The 20,248-nt window shown below is 38.1% G+C and overlaps 1 annotated feature.

Annotated features, from left to right (window-relative positions):
- Positions 16,706–17,207: an enhancer, noted in NCBI's record as "NANOG hESC enhancer chr4:90432809-90433310 (GRCh37/hg19 assembly coordinates)". NCBI's record gives its function as "activates a minimal SCP1, AML or CMV promoter by ChIP-STARR-seq in naive H9 embryonic stem cells {active_cell/tissue: H9 hESC(naive)}" and the evidence as "EXISTENCE:reporter gene assay evidence [ECO:0000049][PMID:30033119]".

Below are 20,248 nucleotides of genomic sequence, written 5' to 3'. Positions count from 1 at the left end.
ACAAAGGAGAAGGGGATATGGTTCCTTCCGTTTTCCCCCCAGAATCCAGTAGGGGAGCATTAGGAGAGGAGGGCCGCCACACAAACCACAGCACAGCAGAGGACGCAACCACACTAGAAAAGTCTTTGATGAAGAACACACATCAGACATTTTACATATAAACATCAGTAAGCTCAACCACAGTGAGAGGAAACAGGTGCCTTAAAAGAGGAGACAGAGGGTTTGTGGCATTTTGAAGAAGTAGTTAGACATGAGTCTCACTTTATTGGATATTCTTTAAAATTTGCTTGAAACTTTGAAAGCTTTCAATAATTTTCATGTCCGAGGGAGGGGAGAGTTGGTTTAATAGAAAATTATAATTGTTCCTTTTTGTGTGAACTGAAAGGGTGTTTTCATGATGAAAGTCATCTTCATTTGGTTTTATAAATTTAACTTAGTATACTGATGTTTCTTTAAACAAGAAGCAAATGATATATATATACATACATATGTTCATTTGCTTAAATGAACATATATATGTTCATTTGCTTAAATGAACATATATATGTTCATTTGCTTAGTATAAGACAGACATATATACATATATATTCATTTGCTTATAGAATATATATATATATTTACTTTAAGTTCTGGGATACACGTGTAGAACATGCGGGTTTGTTACATAGGTGTACATGTGCCATGGTGGTTTGCTGCACCTGTCAACCCATCATCTAGGTTTTAAGCTCTGCATGCATTAGGTATTTGTTCTAATGCTCTCCCTCCCCTTGCCCACCATCCTCTGACAAGCCCTGGTGTGTGATGTTCCCCTCCCTGTGTCCATGTGTTCTCATTGCTCACCTCCCACTTATGAGTGAGAATATGTGGTGTTTGGTTTTCTTTTTTTTTTTTTTTTTTTTTTGAGACGGAGTTTTGCTCTCTTGCCCAGGCTGGAGTGCAGTGGTGCGATCTCGGCTCACTGCAAGCTCCGCCTCCCAGGTTCACGCCTTTCTCCTGCCTCAGCCTCCTGAGTAGCTGGGACTACAGGCGCCCGCCACCACGCCTGGCTAATTTTTTGTATTTTTAGTAGAGACGGGGTTTCACCGTTGTTAGCCAGGATGGTCTCTATCTCCTGACCTTGTGATCCACCCACCTCAGCCTCCCAAAGTGCTGGGATTACAGGCATGAGCCACCACGCCCTGCCGGTGTTTGGTTTTCTGTTCCTGTGTTAGTTTGTTGAGAATGATGGCTTCCAGCTTCATCCACGTCCCTGCAAAGGACATGAACTCATTCTTCTCGTGGTTTTTTTGTTTGTTTTTGTTTTGAGATGGAGTCTTACCCTGTCTTGAAGGCTGGAGTGCAATGGTGCAACCTCAGCTCACTGTAATCTCCGCTTCCGGGGTTCAAGTGATTCTCCTGCCTCAGCCTCCCGAGTAGCTGGCATTACAGGTGTGCGCCACCACGCTTGGCTAATTTTTTGTATTTTTAGTAGAGATTGGGTTTCATCATGTTGACCAGGCTGGTCTCAAACTTTTGACCTCATGATCCACCTGCCTTGGCTTCCCAAAGTGCTGGGATTACAGGCATGAGCCACTGTGCCTGGCTGAACTCATTCTTTTTTTATGGCTGCATAGTATTCTATGGTATATATGTGCCATATTTTCTTTATCCAGTCTATCATTGATGGGCATTTGAGTTGGTTCCAAGTCTTTGCAATTGTGAATAGTGCTGCAGTAAACATATGTGTGCATGTGTCTTTACAGTAGAATGATTTATAATCCCTTGGGTATATACCCAACAATGAGATTGCTGGGTCAAATGGTATTTCTGGTTCTAGATCCTTGAGGAATTGCCACACATCTTCCACAATGGTTGAACTAATTTACACTCCCATCAACAGCATAAAAGCGTTCCTATTTCTCCACATCCTCACCAGCATCTGTTGTTTCCTGACTTTTTAATGACTGACATTCTAACTGGCGTGAGATGGTATCTCATTGTGGTTTTGATTTGCATTTCTCTAATGGCCAGTGATGATGAGCTTTCTTTCATATGTTTGTTGGCTGCATAAATGTTTTCTTTTGAGAAGCACTTGTTCATATCCTTTGCCCACTTTTTGATGGGGTTGCTTTTTTCTTGTAAATTTGTTTAAGTTCCTTATAGATTCTGGATATTAAACCTTTGTCAGATGGATAGATTGTAAAAATTTTCTCCTATTCTGTAGGTTGCCTGTTCACTCTGGCGATAGTTTTGTTTGCTGTGCAAAAGCTCTTTAGTTTAATTGGATCCTATTTGTCAATTTTGGCTTTTGTCGCAATTGCTTTTGGTGTTTTACTCATGAAGTCTTTGCCCCTGCCTATGTCCTGAGGGGTATTGCCTAGGTTTTCTTTTAGGTTTTTCATGGTTTTAGGTTTTACAGTTAAGTCTTTAATTCATCTTGACTTAATTTTTGTATAAGGTGTAAGGAAGGGATCCAGTTTCAGTTTTCTGCATATGGCTAAGCCAGTTTTCCCAGCACCACTTATTAAACAGGGAATCCTTTCCCATTGCTTGTTTTTGTCAGGTTTGTCAAAAATCAGATGGCTGTAGATATGTGGTGTTATTTTTGAGGTCTCTTTTCCGTTTCATTGGTCTATATATCTGTTTTGGTACCAGGACCATGCTGTGTTGGTTACCGTAGCCTTGTAGTATAGTTTGAAGTCAGGTAGCATGATGCCTCTAGTTTTGTTGATTTTGCTTAGTATTGTCTTGGCTATATGGGCTCTTTTTTGGTTCCATATGAAATTTAAAGTAGCTTTTTCTAATTCTGTGAAGAAAGTCAATGGTAGCTTGATGGGCATAATATTGAATCTATAAATTACTTTGGACAGTATGGCCATTTTCATGATATTAATTCTTCCTATCCATGAGCATGGAATGCTTTTCCATTTGTTTGTGTCCTCTCTTATTTCCCTGAGCAGTAGTTTGTAGTTCTCCTTGAAGAGGTCCTTCATGTCCCTTGTAAGTTGTATTCCTTAGTATATTATTCTCTTTGCAGCAATTGTAAATGGGAGTTCACTCATGATGTGGCTCTCTGCTTGTCTATTATTGGTGTATAGGAATCCTTGTGATTTTTACACATTGATTTTGTATCCTGAGACTTTGCTGAAGTTGCTTATTAGCTTAAGGAGTTTCTGGGCTGAGATGATGAGGTTTTCTAAATATACAATCATGTCATCTGCAAACGGAGATAATTTGACTTCCTCTCTTCCTATTTGAATACCCTTTATTTCTTTCCCTTGCCTGATTGCCCTGGCCAGAACTTCCAACACTATGTTGAATAGCAGTGGTGAATATTTTGAGGGACATGTGAAGCAAGACTCTTACCACCATTAATTGGGATATGAATGAAGTAAGGTAGGACTAGTCAGGTCAGCTATTATACTAACTGAAATAAAATTATGATTTCATCTTTACAGTACCATATGTACTTATGACCATCAGTCTTGGCTATTCTTATTTATATGAGAATATAATAATGAAAATAATTAATACCTCAAAATCAGGGAACCAAAGGGAAGAAAAAATCACCCAAATCAAAATTCCACTTTTGAAGAAAGCTTAATTTCATAGGAGAGGCCCAACTAAAAGAATACAATTTAAAGTTAGGCAAGCAGAATATAATGCCAAGGTTTTGGTGTATGTACTATATCTATAAACAGATACGCATATTAAAAATAACAAAGGGAAATTCATCAAAATATTCATGGGAATTATATTAATAGTAATAAAAATTTCTGAGTGATAAAAAAATTAGTGATTTTAAATATTATTTTTATTTTTCAAATTCTACACAGTGAGGTTATATCGTTCACATAATTTTAAAAAGCCAAAAAAAAAGGATTTAAAAAAGTTAAAAGAGGCAGTATATACTTAAAAGCCAAATCATTTTTAACAGATGGGCATCTATACTTTAGAAAGAAGTTGCAGCATGGAAAACTATTGGTGATCTATTTCAGTTTTTCTATAGTTAGCCATAAGCCTTTCAATAGGTGACCTAAATTTCCTACATTATGAGTGAGCAGCAGCAAAAGTAACTATCTCTTCTGATTCATAATTAAGCAGCATATTTAATAGTCCTATTGATTTGGTTAAGTAATAAACTCATCATTTTATCATCAATTTGATTTTGAAGGGTTTTTTGGCACAAAATTGTAACTGTTAACCATATTTTCTTTCTCTTAGGTTAAGAAACAAACCCAACACTATTACAGTGTTTTCACAGGGATCTGTAAAGAATGTCTGAGGCAAGGCACAGTGGCTCACGCCTGTAATCCCAGCACTTTGGGAGGCTGAGGCGGGCAGACCACTTCAGGTCATGAGTTCGAGACAAGCCTGCCCAACATGGTGAAACCCTATCTCCACTAAAAATAGAAAAATTAGTCAAGCATGTTGGCACTCGCCTGTAATCCCAGCTACTCAGGAGGCTGAGGCAGAAGAATCACTTGAACCCAGGAGGCGGAGGTTGCAGTGAGCCGAGATCACGCCACTGCACTCCAGCCTGGGCAATAGAGTGAGTGAGACTCTGTTCGCCCACCAAAAATAAAAGAATGTCTGAGGCCTACAATTACGCTACGAGAACTAATAAAAATATTCTCTATTCAGAATAAGGAAAGGGAGTTTTGAATTGCTGTTTCTACTACCAACCTCCTACTCCCACTGCTTCTTCAGGATCCACATCAGTAACAGCAGAGGGGCCTTGGGGAACACATATCTAATATCCCCAGTGGCCAATTGACCCCCATCTTAAACCAGGTGAGCATCCATGAAAACAGCCACCCTTGCCACTCTAAGCAAATACCCATGAAAGATCATTCAGAGCTCTCATATATTAGTGAATTATGTATCACTGTGCCTGTCCTGTTTTCCTTTCAACTCTATTGTAGTATTGATTGACCTTGGATTTTTCTACAGCTGCAAAGACGTTTTGGTTCCACTTTACTTATGACTATGTTTTCTCTTATTGTTTCTGTGTATTCTTCCTCCAAAACTTGTCTCCCTTTAGACAACATTATTAGGTTTAATCCCAAGTGAATAGTAACCAAAATAATGATTAAAATGTATAATTAGAAATTTGCAGGAGTAGATATTGGAAAATGAGGGTATCTATTTAAATTATGGAGGAAACTAGATGATGGCAATTACAGCATATTTAAATTTATGGGATGGATAGATTTCAATGTTATCACTGTAGTTCTGTGTGTATTTGTATAAACTAATTTATATGAACTAATGTCAAAAGTCTGAAATTGAGTCCTACTCTTCCTGGCTCATTTATAGAAAAACTGGCTGCATGGCCTTTGCAAGTCCCTTCATCTTTCTGCATTTCAGTTTCCTCATAGGTGGGAGGAATTTACTTACCTATTACCTAAGTATCCTTCATACATAAAATTCGATTATTCTGAGATCTTTCCCTATTCTTCCTCTCATATTTAATTGAAGTAAAGGTCCCATCAGTCTCATAGCTCCCTTCATCTGTTATTAAACAAGGATGGCTCTGTGTTCTCGTCTGTTCTAAAGGTCTCTTAAAGAGAAATCAAATTTTTTGAGATTCTCAAGTCCTGATTGACTGAGACCTTTACATCCTAACAATAGCTATTTGATATAGTCACTGGATAAGGCAAAGATTCTTCTGTTGATGTGTGTAAGTGCCTGTGAGTTCAGCCAGCAAAAAATCCATTTGATTGAATAGTCTTAGCACTAAACAAGGTCTCATCCCAAGGGATGTAAGGTAAGATAAAGTGTTGGGTCATCTTTTGTTGAAATCTTTGTACAATCCAAATGCCTTAGCTGATAACTTCATAGGCATTGGGGATATAGTTAAGGTAGATTTATTTTTTTTAATGAATTCTATAGTTTCTCGAATAACCATAGCAGCAATCATTGAGGGAATAAGCCATCCCCTAACATTGCAGTCAAAAATAAATAATGCAGATATTCTGTATTTCATAAAATTCTGCATAGTGAGAGAAACAGAAATATATATATTTTAAGTGAACTTACACATACTGATCCAAAACTTTTATATCTTAACAGCTTATGGACATATATGATAAAATCAAGTCATTATTCTAAACTTATTAGCCAAATGGTTTATCAGCAGTTGGACAACTTTATGGTAAAGGGAGGTCTACATTTCAGGCTGAGACATTCCTAATTGGAAATGTATAAAAAAGTCCAAAAAATCCCAAATGAAATTTTAAAATATCTCTGTGATGAGGACTTTTATTTATAAAGCTTTCAATATTTTTAAAGCATCTGAATATTACTTTTAATGGTTTAATGACATTATTAACATCTAATCCCATGCCTTTATGCCTTTTTCCAAAAGTTCAACAGGCATTTTGCTAAAATCATGAAATCTTAAACTTGATAAGCTGTAGGAAATGACTTTCTCTCATTGTTTTTTCTTTTTGTTTCTTTTTTTTGCTTGACTCTTGTCCATTCTTAAACATCTGTTCAGCAAAGCTTTTCCTAACTCCATTTCCCCTGATAGATTAACCACTACCTCATTTCTGTTTTTCCTTTACCTTGGATATATTTGTGACATGCATGCACCATTCCATGCTTTAATGGTTTGCATATCTGTCTCCCCCGTAATGCTGTCGTGTCCATCTCTGTGTCCCTAGTACAAGGCACGGGGCCTGGCATACAATATGGGCTCAGTACATATCATTGAACTTGTGAGAAAACTGAGACTCAGAGAGAGGCTGTTGTTTTCTTCAGATAATGTAGGTCATTTATAACAGTGTTTGTACTGGGATTCAAATGACCTACCCTTAGCACGATGCCCCTCACTTAATTCATACATATTGAAGGAATTAACGAATCAGCATATTAATAAATCAATTGTTCTTGAGCACTTTCCATTGCACTATCCTAGTCAAATAATAAATATAACATTTTTTTTAACGAGTCTTCTGGCTACCTGGCTTCAGTGAAACAAGTAATGAGGAAATGAGATTAATAAAACATCAATGAGACCAGATATTTCACATACATTTGATTATTATAGCCTCATAGAGATATAGTTTATATCAATCAGATATGCTAAAATTTATCTGGTAATAAAATTCTATTGTTAACATCTAACAGTCTAAGCTAGTGATCTGAGAGACAACTTTCTCACCAAGTCGAATATCTATCCAGTCAACACAGCTATCCCAGGATTCTTGTTTGGAAAATGAATCCTCTTGGGCATGGATCAGTCCATGTGTCACAGATGGTTTATGGATAGTTTGCTGGTTTCCCTTTTGTTCTGAAAGCAAAGAGGTAACTTTTGTATTGAATTGAATGCTAAGCAACAGCTCACTTGACTTTAAGGGCCATAATATGTTTTGGGTATATCCCTTCTCAGAAATGAAGCAAGAACCCTCTTCCCTCGGATAGCCACAGGGCTTCCACTCTGATGTCAATCAAATACCTGTGCATACCTTGCCTTACCAGAGAGGTCTATCCACACTTACCTTTTCTAAAATAGGACCACACTCTGGCTTTCCCCTTCATCATCCCCTTTCCCTGCTTTTCTTGCAACTATTATCACCTAACACTCTTATTTTCTCAGTTTTTGTTATTACATATGTGTATATAATATGTTTATGCTGTCCAGAGCTTACACATTCAATATTTTTGGGGTAATTAGTAAGCAATGTCATAGATACACCAGAAATTCTGTTGGGAGTAAAATTCAGATTCAAGATTTTAAAATTGTTAAGGACATTGTAGGTCATGTGGTACAAACTATTTATTTTGTAAGTATGAAATCCAATGCTAATAATAACAGCTTTTTAATTGCACATTTCATGTTCCAGGCACTGAGTAAAGCGCTTTACATGCGTAAACTCTTGTGACACTTTGGCAATTTTATAAGAGGGATCTTGTAATTATATTTTATTAATTTAAAAATAAGCATTTTCTACATTTCAATTTTAACGTTTTAAAATTATCAAAATTGAAATCAGAATGATTATTATCTTCAAGCATTTTGGAATTTGCTTATGTGAGTTTGGAAAATAGAAGAAGTAAAAAAAATCAAACAGAAGGTCTTTGTTTAAATAAAGTAATAAACTAGATTACTGTGTTTACCGATGTGTCATTTTTCAAGAAAAGGATGTAAAAATAAATTTGCTAGTAATGTAGCTTCTATTTTTCTCTGATCTGTTAAGAAAGAAGACTTCACAATCCTTCAAATGCAAGAACCACGTCCTCATCCCCTCTATCATGTACAATGTGTGAAACATCATTTTTCCAGTGCTGGTATGAGACTCTACCATATGGAAGAGTGGCTGGAACAACCAAGATCATGGGTCCTGACACCGTTTTCCAAGGTAACAAGGTAAAAACCAGGGGACATTGACAAGGAAAATTTATAAGTAGAATGACAAAGTTAAATTTCAGAAGCCCAAAGTGGAGTGGATAAGGTTAAAAGGCAGAGCTGCTATCCAAATAGCTCAACAAAGTAGAAAGTGTGATTAGAATAAAAGATTGGGGTCAGCTTTGACAAAATCAACCTTGGCAAGGGGATGGACAGATTCTGACAATTGTGCCCCCTGACAACCAAGCATGAGTGATTTTTAATTGTCGGACACAGCTGTGTGCCCCTACGATCCCTGGCTTTAGGAGACAATAAGCCTCTGAGATACTTTCCACTCCACAGGGAGCAGACCCTGGTGACAGCACTTGGGTGGGTCCTCCTGGAGCACTAATCATTCTAACAACCAATATCTGGCTAATGAAATAGATGAAATTAGAAATCTACCAAAAGACTCAAGAGACAAGAAGATGTCAGGCATAACCTTCAATGAACAACTCTTCACAAACACATGTTAACATGCTGCACAACAGCCTTTTTCTTGGGTCTCGAGAGTACCAGAGTGACAGATTATCATGTGCACAGTAATCCAAGTGGATGACATTCTGTCAAGGCTGTCCTAATTACAGTCTTGTATTTATGACACAGCAATCAGGAAGACCATTCTCAACTCTAATCCCTGTTGTTTTGTAGGCTAGTCATTCAGCTTCCAAATAAAGCTACCTCAGAAAAAAAGCCCATTTGTAAAATTAAAGTGATCAGGTTAAAGTGATAATATGAACAAGTATTTATTAATTTATGAATACGAAGGTTTTCTTCTAACACAAAAATATCTTAATGAATGTAATCACACTTGGCAATCCCTGCTAGACACTTATGAGTAAGAATAAATGCTCATGAAAAACTGCTCTTGGTTTTCAACAGTTCTACATTTCAAAAAATAAAAAGCTCAGCAGTTAACTGCTGCAGTGATGATGCAGAGGATTCAGCCTTCCACTTGAATATTTCAGCCTGCCATCACTGTTTCTTCACCAGATGAATGCTGGTTTATCCAAGCCACTTGAACAGGGCAACACCGAGTCAGAGGAAGAGTGCTGCCACAGCATCTGAGATGTTGAGTGCAGCTTTAAGCGGCTGTTTGGGGACTGTAAGCCACTGACTGCAGCTAGTCCTTATCGAATGCCTACTATTCACCAGTGAATTTTTAAAGACATTGATATATTTTATCTGATTTCATCCATATATCAAACTTCTAAAGGAGAATTACTTTTCCTCATTTCACAGATAAGGAAACATAGGATTATATTAAATAAAAGTTAAATAATATATCCAAGGTCACACAATTACATGGGGGCAACAGAAAAGTGCCTCTCCCATGGGAGATGGGTACCGGGGCAGGAGGGAGGATGGAATTAGGGATAAAGAAAAAATTTGCTCTGTCTAGATTAAACTAATAAGATCCATATGCAATATCTGTGTATCAGCCTTTTATAGGAGTATAGAATTAGGGATAAAGGAAAAATTTGCTCTGCCTGGATGAAACTAGTAAGATCCATATGCAATATCTGTGTATAAGCCTTTTATAGAAGTAAACTCCAACTTTTGTTTTCTAATTTTTTTCTTTTTTGGTTTTATGAAGTATGACTAAAGACATTTTAAGATTTTGTAAACACCAGAATCTTGAGTCAACATCAGGCAGTTATTTTCAGAAAATATATAACTGGAATAGAATTGGAATTTTTGAATTTAGAATATTACCCACTTGTATTGTACTGTGTTTATAGTAGTATTTGTCAGAGCAGAGTAGGGGGGATTGTCAGTCCAGAGAACAAGAGACCCAAACAGCTAGAAGCCAGCTATGCCCATTCAGAACTTCATACTTGTGGAGGCAGACATGGCCTCATCATGAAGAAGGTGCATCAGCCTGGTTTGACAATATGCCATGAAGCACGGGAATTGTAAAACTCCCCTTGTTTTGATCCACGCTCACCAGGCAGGCTTCTGATGGTAATTTTGCTTCTTGAACATCATATTTAATTGGAAAGATTCTATTGACGCAAGTACTCTAATTTGCTTACCATTGCATTTATTACTGTAAATTAGTCAATCAGAGTTATGGAGATGTGTCAGTTTCCACAAGCTTGAATAACATAAGCCTGCTCCTGAAAGGTATGTCAGTTCTCAGTGTGCTAATAAAACAGCATGAAAATAAGGAGACCAAACTCCAAAATGATGAACTCACCAAATGATTATACCTACACCTGTGTACCGGGCCTTTTCAACTCAGTGAGCTCTGTAAAACATAACACTCATGGTGCAACTCAGCTGGGAGAAGATTAATCCAGGGATAAGTTCTTTTTGAAACCATCTGTTTCTTGCTGTCAAAACAATTCCCAGTGTAATCCACTGGTCTGTACATCTTATAGGAATCCTACCCTCCCCCCCCAAAAAAAAATAAAACAGCAACCAGAACTTAAAGAAAATAATACACAACAGAAAACCCTAGTGAATATATCTAATACATGAAACAAAACTCTTCCCTCAGCTAAATACCAGACATGCAGTGGTGTAGTGATATTTCAGTGGTAGCTGGAACTTCAATAATTGTGCTCTTAAAAAGACAACTGTTACCCAGTGCTCAGATGATCGGCTCTAACTCCAATGTCCAATAAAAAGAACCAGGATTCTTTGAAGAAATGGCTACTTTTAGAGCTGGGGGCGTGGGATAGACAAGGTAAATTAGGAGCATCTTACAGTGCCAGGATTTAAGGAAGTACTCAGAGAATAGAAGGATGGAGGCATGTCAGAGGCAACTTGAAAGACCTTCTAATGGCCAAAGCTGGAGCAATGAGAACAAAATAAACAAGGATAGTATTGGGTGATAAGGCAAAGCATAAAAGAAATATCCCAAGTCCAAGTCCATGCTGACATAAATAAATGATTGAATGAATACATAAGCAAAGGTGGAGACGAAAATTTCAAATAGTTTATGTGGCTTCCCCCATCTCCAGGCAGTGGAGCTTAAACTGCCAACCACTTTTGAATGTGGGATACATGTAATGACTTGTTTCCAATGTATAGAGTAGGGAGAGCAGGGAGGGCAGGTGACTTTACAATGGAGAACCCTGTTCAGGTGATTAAGATTAACATCTTCATATCTACATCACAGGAATAGCCCGTAGCCTTGATATGATGTGATGTGAATTTGCCTCTGTGATCTTTCTCACAAAAGCCCCACATCCCAGTCAAACCGTGAAAAAATATTAGACACATCCATATTTAAGGACATTCTACAAAATACTCCTCAAAAATGGAAGGACACGCAAACCAAGAATGATGAAGTAATTGTCACACAGTGGAGATGACAAAGGAGGCATGATGAATAAATGTAATGTGGAATCCTTGAGAGGATCCTGGAACAGAAAATGGACATTAAGGGAAAACTAGTGAAATCTGAATAAAGTCTGGAGTTCAGTAAACAATATTGTACCAATGTTGTTTTCTTAGCTGTGATATACCTACCACAGTAAAACAAGATGTTAGCATTAGGGGAAACTGGGTGAAGGGTACAATTGAGCTCTCTGCATTATCTTTGCAATTTTCCTATAAATCAAAAAACATTCTAAGATTAAAATCTTATTTTAAAAATTGCTTTCTTTAGATTTTGTCTGTATTGTATTTTAAAGGTATGTAATGAAAAATTATGTCAGGTGGATTTTGACATTTCTAATTGTTCTTCAATGGTCAAGTCAACTTTGAAAGATTTCATTTGGATTTGAGCAACACAGCAATTCAATTAGATGCCACATTGAACCCTCTGTACTGAGGATCTTGTAAGGCACAAGCTCTTTGACCTCAATTATAATAGTAGGAACCTGTTTTGATCTGGCTCCTTAGTTTCTAGTAAAGGATAAACCTGGTGGTAAAAATGAATAGATAGTAAATGAAGAAAAACAAGATCAATAAAGCAATCTTGTCCTTATAGGTTCTCGGCTTAGCTTGGAAGAAAATAAACAAGGTGTGTTTTGAAGGGTTGCCCCATGAGAAGCAGAGTCGTGACAGAAAGCTATTTATTCATTCAATAATCTATGCAATGAAAAACATTGTTTGCCTATTGTGAACTGGCTAATCCAGAAACAGAAAAAAATAAAGCCCTTGTTATCATCCTCAATGAAGTCATAATCTGGGGACTGAGGTAGGCAAGGAGAGGGAGAATATAAATCACTGATGACTGCTGGAATGCCAACTTCATCCAATGCCCATGCTTGGTGAAATAGGCAAGAGGCTGCCTCAGTGCACCGCCTCTCTCCACACTATCAGTGGGTAAGAATTTAGAGATCATTCCAGATTTATGAAGAAAAAAAATTCAGATTAAAAACTACCTTGAAAATCTTATCTCCTTTTTAAGAAGTCATTACTTAACGGAAATGTCTCTGTCTCCTTCAAATATTGTTCCTGCTACAACCACCTGGACATTTATTACTTAACCATTTTATGCCCACTTACAAGTAAGTCACCATAGTGACCTAATGGTATCAGCTTATCCTTAAAAGGAGATTTATGATTCCTAAAGATTTCTAAATGCAACTCCTAAATGAGTGAAGACTGTTTTTGCCAATACTGTACCATACAGATTCTTTATCTCCTCTGCCTTTGCAATCTGGACATTAAATGTTACCTGGCCAGTATCTGCCCTGACCAGCAAGTCATAGGCAGCATTTGAGATTATGTTTTGCTTTAAATCATTTTTACTGATGAACAAAATATACCCCCTTTAAGTGTACATTTCAATAAGTTTTGATAATGAATATATGTATGTAACCACTGCAATGACAAAGATATAAAACATTTTTCCATCACCCAAAAAAGTCCCATACTCCCACTTCAGCCCCAGGCAACAATTTTGTTAATCTGAGTATTCTGGGAAGCAGATGTCGAGAAAGGATTAGCCATGAAACAGATGTAGGGAAAATGCTGTGAAAAATAAAGGGAAGAGAATCCTGAGAAGACCTGGAGAGTCTACACAGTATGCAGTTCCAACACCTGCAAAAGAAAGGAAGAAGGCAGGATAAGGAGGTTAAAAAAAAAAGGCTTAGACTGCAGTGCAATTCCAAGAAAGGTTTGGTTAGGCTGAGGGGGTGTCCTCAAGGCAGTCTCCCACTGGAGGAGTCCTGTGTCTCTTAGGAATGGGCCTTAATCAGTACATCCTCTGTGCTCGGCTGCTGGCTGGGTGTAGTATCCCATTGTAGGATTACCAAGTTAGTTTACCCATTCACCTGCTGCTGGACATCAGCATTGTTTCCAATTTGGAGCTATTACAAATAAAGCTGCTGTGAACATTTATGGCAGCTCTTTGTGTAAACATGTGCTTTCATTTCTCTAGGTAAATACATAAGAGTGGGACTGCTGGGGCATATGGTAAGTATTAATGGTTTAACGTTATAAGAATCAGCCAAATTTGTTTCTTAAGTGTTTGAGTCATTGTATATTTTACAAGATTTCCAGTTGCCTCCATCTTCCCCAAAACACGGTGTTAGTCTTTTTAATTTTGTCCCTTTTAGTGAGTATATAACAGTATTTCAATGTGGTTTTAATTTGCCTTTTCTTGATGACCAGTGATGAGCGTCATCTGTTCATATGCTTCCTGGTAACCCCTTTTAAAAGTTTCCAAGAGTCTCATCCCATTATAGCATCAGCTCAAAGGCCCATTACAGCATTAGCCCAAAATCACTGAAATCGGACCCAGCCATAAATGAAGTTCCAGGGTGTAATCTGTTAAGTACTGTTCCTGGGGCATAATTCCTCTCCTTTGTCAGATATATGTTGAAAATATTTTCTCCCAGTCAATGTCTTTCCTTTTCATTTGCTGGGACCTTACGATAAGCACAATCCCTAGGCAATATATCACCAGAAAAATAAAAGAAGTTTATATTTAATATAAATCTATGAGTGTAACAGCTCACCTTTGACACATTTAGACCAAATATATGTCTTCTTAAAGAACCATTCTTTAAAAGATTTCGTTGCCTGCTTCCTCTCAGTAGGAGATCTGAATAGGCATCGGGTAGGTTGATGAACTCTAGATAGCTAAATATCTCAAGACCTGAAGATATGGTAATTCAAAATGCTATCTAGTAATGACCGACTATGCACCATTTTGAATTGCCAACTACCTACTAGATAATTCCATCTCAATCTTTAATCTGGGACATAAGAATTAACTGAAATTATTGATCCCACAAGATGGAATGAGAATTAAAACAACTATAATTTTTAATAATCACAAATAGCATAAAGCAGTTTCTCCTTACTAAACAGCTGGAAAAACTGACTAGCCAGGTGGATGGCTAAGATAATTGTTTCTCCTGTTGATGTAGATGATTCCCTTTCCTTCTCTGTCCAGTTTATGGCAGCTCAACTCTGTATCCCAAGCTGCCCTCCACAGGGGTGTTGTTTGAAGGTTTAACAGCATGCTTATCCCTAGTTGTAGAACATGTTCAGTCTCTGGATTTGAAATCACTGAAGTTTTGCTCAGTGACTTTGAACAGTCTTCCACGGTAACAATGATTACTTTTTTTCTCCTGTCAAATAGCATTTAGCAAATGTCTGATGCTCTGTTCTTATCACAAGGCATGGCTTATTCCCTCTGTGTGGTGCATCGTATCTGTATGCCTGCGCATGAGGGGCCTCCCTGTTCTCCTGGTGGGCTGAGATGCCTGAACCCTCTTAGCTGGTGAATATCACTTAATTTGCTTACAAGACCAAAACAGCTTGCTTGTTGGAAAAATAATAACATCATTATATTTCCTGTGCAATGTTTTAAGCTAACCCTTAAATATCTTCCTATCTGCAGAGATTTTATTGTTCAAACACTTTACATCCAATTATTCAAAGTTTATTAACCTCTTGATCTATCAGAAAGCATCTTACCTATCAGGAAAGTAGGAGAGGGGGAGACAGAAGAAAGATGGAAAGAAGGGGATGGAGAGAATAAGAAGAAAGAGTGAAAAGATGCACATTTTTTTGGGTTACTACAGAGTACCTGACAGTGAAGTGATTTATCCATGTTCCCTATTGAGGGAAAAATAGTAAATCAATCTAAAAAATAACCTCAAAGAAGTTGTAAGATACTACTTTGACTAGGAATATAGATATTCTTTTAACCTTATATCATCTAGCTATCACACTTTGTCAGTTTATATTTGGCTGCTAAAAACAGTGCCAACCACAGGGATTTAAAATACATATTTATCTCACATAATAGAAGTAAACAGTTGATGCCATTGATTTAGGACTTCAAGCATATTAATGCTAAAGTATCTGAGATTCTCTTGACCATTTTTACAAGGTCCCAAGATGGTTGCTGTGACTTCAGCTATTTCATTTCCATTTCAGGAAGGTAGAGAAAGGAGAGGGGAAAAGGACATGTCTCCCAGCTGTGTCAGTCCTTTGAAGAGCTTTCTTGGAAGCCCAAGCCCACCCAATGGGTGGCCATTATATCTCATTAGTCACCCAACTGCAAGGAGGCTTGGGAATGTCATTTTAAACTGATCATATTACAGTAACCAAAATTAGAAGAATTCTGGTACTGAGAATTGAAATTGACTAGGCAACCAGTAGTCTTTGCAGTCCTCTTGCCTTCACACTCCAGGGCCTTAAAAGAACAACCTTACATTCCTGTTCTCTCCTTAATCACTTTTCATTCACCCTTTAGTATATCTAGCTTCCGCCTCCACCACGTCTCTGTAACTAGTATATTTCATCCTCTCAGCATATTACATGCTCTTATCTGGAGTGTTTATCCATAATTAAATTCCTTCTTATAAAAATTTCTTGCTTGCTTTACAGAACATTAAGCTAATTACCACCCACTGTCCAGCTACTCCTTCTCACCTCCTTTCTTGGCTCCTGGCCCCTAACCCTTCTGATTCCTATGCATTCTCTCCGGCAATATCTTTCACACCTGTGGGATCAATTTTAATATGACCTATACTTCTCCACTATACTTTCTTCTCATTCTCAGACTTTGAACTGCTAATCACTTACCAGAGACCATTTTGAAATGCCAACTACCTGTTTAGATAATTCCATCTGGATATCTTACAGGACAATCAGATTCTAGATATTCCAATCAAACTTGTCTACCTCTTCTTTTTTCACCTGAAATCTTCCATATTGTCTATCCCAACTGATGTTACAGAACTAATAAGAATCAGGGGAAAAAAAGACATGACCAAAAAATTATTCATCCTTTAGGCAGAGTCAATGGTTAAATATTTTCATGTCCCATCTTGAGGCAGCGCTCTTTTCACGGGGGCACTAGCTGCAGGGGGGTCTGTTCCTGCAGACCCCTGATTCGGCGATGGATGAAGAAAGTACACTGACACACAGATATTCTGCTCTGCCAGTCCAGCTGAGGGTCCGAGCAGCTTACAGGTTCCAAGCTGAGTTCTGTAAACAGTTGTGACTCAGCCCTCATCTGCTAGTCAGGCTCGCATTTATTCAGTAAGACTAATTAACAAAATTGTGAGTAAACACCACTAGAGGGTAAAGATTAAAGGCCAGGTTCGGAGCCTAAAGCAAACACCATTTGCGGGTGATAAACTTCTGCAGACTGCTGCCCCCCAGTAGGAGGCCGTCAAGTACCCACAGGTAGGGGTAGTTTGAAAGGTTAGTCTTAAACCTGTATAAGTAAGCAGGTTAGTAAGATAAACTTCCCACATTCCTTTGTACTTGCACCCTAATCTTTCCGACTCCTGCAAAGAGACCCTGGCTGCCTTCAGCCAAGCAATCTGAAGCTATGCAAACTCTCGGGCTTCCCAAGAGAGTTTTTGGCTGTTATATAACTATCTTTAATATTTTTCCCACCAGCCTGCTTGAACCCCAACTCCATCTCATTTCATTGTCACTATAATCCTACAAGAAAGGTACTTTATTATACGCAAGATACAGGTAAGAAGACTGAGACTTAGAAAGGATTGATAATTAATACCAGAGAGATAGTAAATGTTACTCCCTCCTAGCCTCAAATCCAAAATCATTACATTAGGCTGTTTCCCCTTTTTTTCCTATTAAGATATCTGACAAAACTTTCCTATATATGTATCTGCCTAGGTAAAGTGACTTATTCTAAAACAACCCTCACAAAATTCAGTGGAGTGCACCTTATAACAAATCTAAATAATTCATCTATCCCACAGCCATTGCTTTAATGCAGGATCTTCACATTTCTTATCCACGCTAATACAAATAGCTGTTATCGAGTCTCCATATCAGTGTTACCAGGTTTCATTTTCTTCCTTCTCCCCTGAATAAAGAAATATTTGTAAAACTACATTCTGACCATGGCAGTACCTTGATGGTATTCCTTCAGTGACATTTTATTATGCACAGCATGAGGGCCAGACCCTCAGGATGATAAGCAGAGTCAGCCGTGGCTGGGCCCATACCTGCTCCTTCCTCACGTTTGCCCTCTGTGTTAGCTACAAGTGACTTCTTCTTGGTGACTCGTTGTCCTTGCATATAGTGGTCCCTCTGGAAGTTACCTCCCTTCAGCCCATCTTTATAACTTCCTAACATCTTTTGACATTTGGATTACCTATTACACTCTTATTTTCTGTATTAGTCTGTTCTGCATTGCTATAAAGGAATACTTGAGACTGGATAATTTATAAATAAGGATTTATTTTGCTCATGGTTCTGTGGACTGTGCAGGCATGGTGCCAGCATCTGCTCAGCTGCTGGTGAGGCATCCGGAAGCTTACAATTATGGCCGAAGGTGAAGGGGGAGCTGATGTATCACATGGCAAAAGAGGCAGCACGGGAGAGTGGCAGAGGTGCCAGCCTCCTCTAAACAACCAGATCTCACATAAACTCATTATTGCAGAGAGGGCACCAAGACCATTTATGAGGGGTCCATCCCCATGAGCCAAACATCTTCAACCAGGCCCCACCTCCAACACTGGGGATTACATTTCAACATGAGATTTGGAGAGGACAAATATTCAAATTATATCACCCCTCTGGGAAGTTCCCTAGCTCTTCCAGGCAGGTATAGTGCCTTCCTTAAATGCTCACAGTCAAGTGCAAGATACACTTGAAAATATGTAATATATTAGCTTGATGCCCTGCCACAGGTTAGACTTCAGTTGCCATATTAATATAGATATTGTTATTTTTCTGTAAACTTTATTTGTTTATCCCATTTCTTCTCCTTCCTCACAATTAACATAAAATAATGAAGTAAGTGAACCGAGTTTCTGTAAGACGTTATTGGCATAAGAATGAAACCAACAAGTATTTTGTCCTTTCGCAATACTCTGGGAGGAAAAAGCATTACCAATCATGTCCATGGACAAAGTGCCAAGAAAAGCAAGGGGTATGTTCTAAATGCATAGCAATGTCTTCCTTTCTTACTTCATACCACATGGGATAATTACTCCTGATTTTCATAGTATTCATCAGCTTTGCTGCAGTAACAAACCCTCTCAAGTTTCAATGGTTTCCTACAATACATTTTTCATGCCCATTCATGTTAAATGCAGCTGCGGTTCTGCTACAGGTGGAGGCACTGCTCCATGGGTTTTCTCATTCAAAGACCAGGACGAAAGAACAGCCACCATCTGGGACTTGTCATAATAGCATGAGAGCAGGATGCCTCACACAGTTACATTTCATAATTCTGTCACATCTACTCACATTTACCTCAGGAAGTCACATGATCAAGCCTAGGGCTGAAAGTGAGAAAGTAGAGGGAGATACTGAAAGTGACATGGCAAGGACAAAGAGATATAATCCCCTTATAGGGAAGGGAACAAAACAATATTTCAATCTACCTCATTCAGCCATTGGTTTCTAAATTTCTTTCTGTAGACCTCATACTACAGTGGAAAGAGGGTACATCAGAAGTCAGATGGATACATCTGTCTCAGCTCTTGTCCAATTCAATCTCACTGAGGTTTGGTTTCTTCATCTATAAAATGAAGGGATAGAACTAAATCATCTAAAAATTACCCATCCAAATAGGCCATCCAAGTTTTGTGTGACACTTTCTTATTCTGTCATGATTGGGAAGGAAATGCAAAATGCAACAAGAAAAACTAGTTTCCATTTATAAGGGCTGGTTCAAACACATGATGCCACAGATGTAAATTCTATTATATTTTATTGGGAGGCTGTTGGTTTTTTGTTCTGTTTTGTTTTTGTTTTTTCCTGTAACATATTGACATTACCAATTTGTTACTCTTTCATTTGAAAAAACATGTCAGCCATAGGTACTCAAGTCTACTGTATTAGTCCGTTTTCAGGCTGCTGATGAAGACATACCCAAGACTGGGAAGAAAAAGAGATTTAATGGACTTAAAGTTCCATGTGGCTGGGGAGGTCTCAGAATCATGGCGGAAAGCAAGGAGGAGCAAGTCACATCTTACATGGATGGCAGCAGGCAAAGAGAAAGAGAGAGAGAATTTGTGCAGGGGAACTCCTTTTTAAAACCATCAGATCTCATGAGACCCACTCACCATTGCAAGAACAATGAGAGAGATCCGCCCCCATGATTTAACTACCTCCCACTGGGTCCCTCCCACAATATGTGGGAATTGTGGGAGTTACAATTCAAGATGAGATTTAGGTGGTGACACAGCCAAACCATATCATCTGCTAAGTTGCAAATGATAGTCTTTTCATTGCAAATAACAGAAAATCCAGCTCACATTGTTGTACACAATAAGATGATTAATGAGTTAAAATAGCTCAAAAGTCTATAGGAGGAAATGGCTCAAATCAGATGTGATTTGATTTGATAACTAAATCATTTCACCAAGACCCTGTCAGCTTTATCCCAAGACTAAGTCTTCTCTTGGTGACAAAACGATTATCAGCTGCAATTTGAGTAATGTATGCTCTTCCTTCCAGTCCCAA

Source organism: Homo sapiens, chromosome 4 (assembly GCF_000001405.40).
Source record: "Homo sapiens chromosome 4, GRCh38.p14 Primary Assembly".
NCBI classification, from domain to species: Eukaryota; Metazoa; Chordata; class Mammalia; order Primates; family Hominidae; genus Homo; species Homo sapiens.
This window is presented reverse-complemented; position numbering and strand designations above follow the sequence as displayed.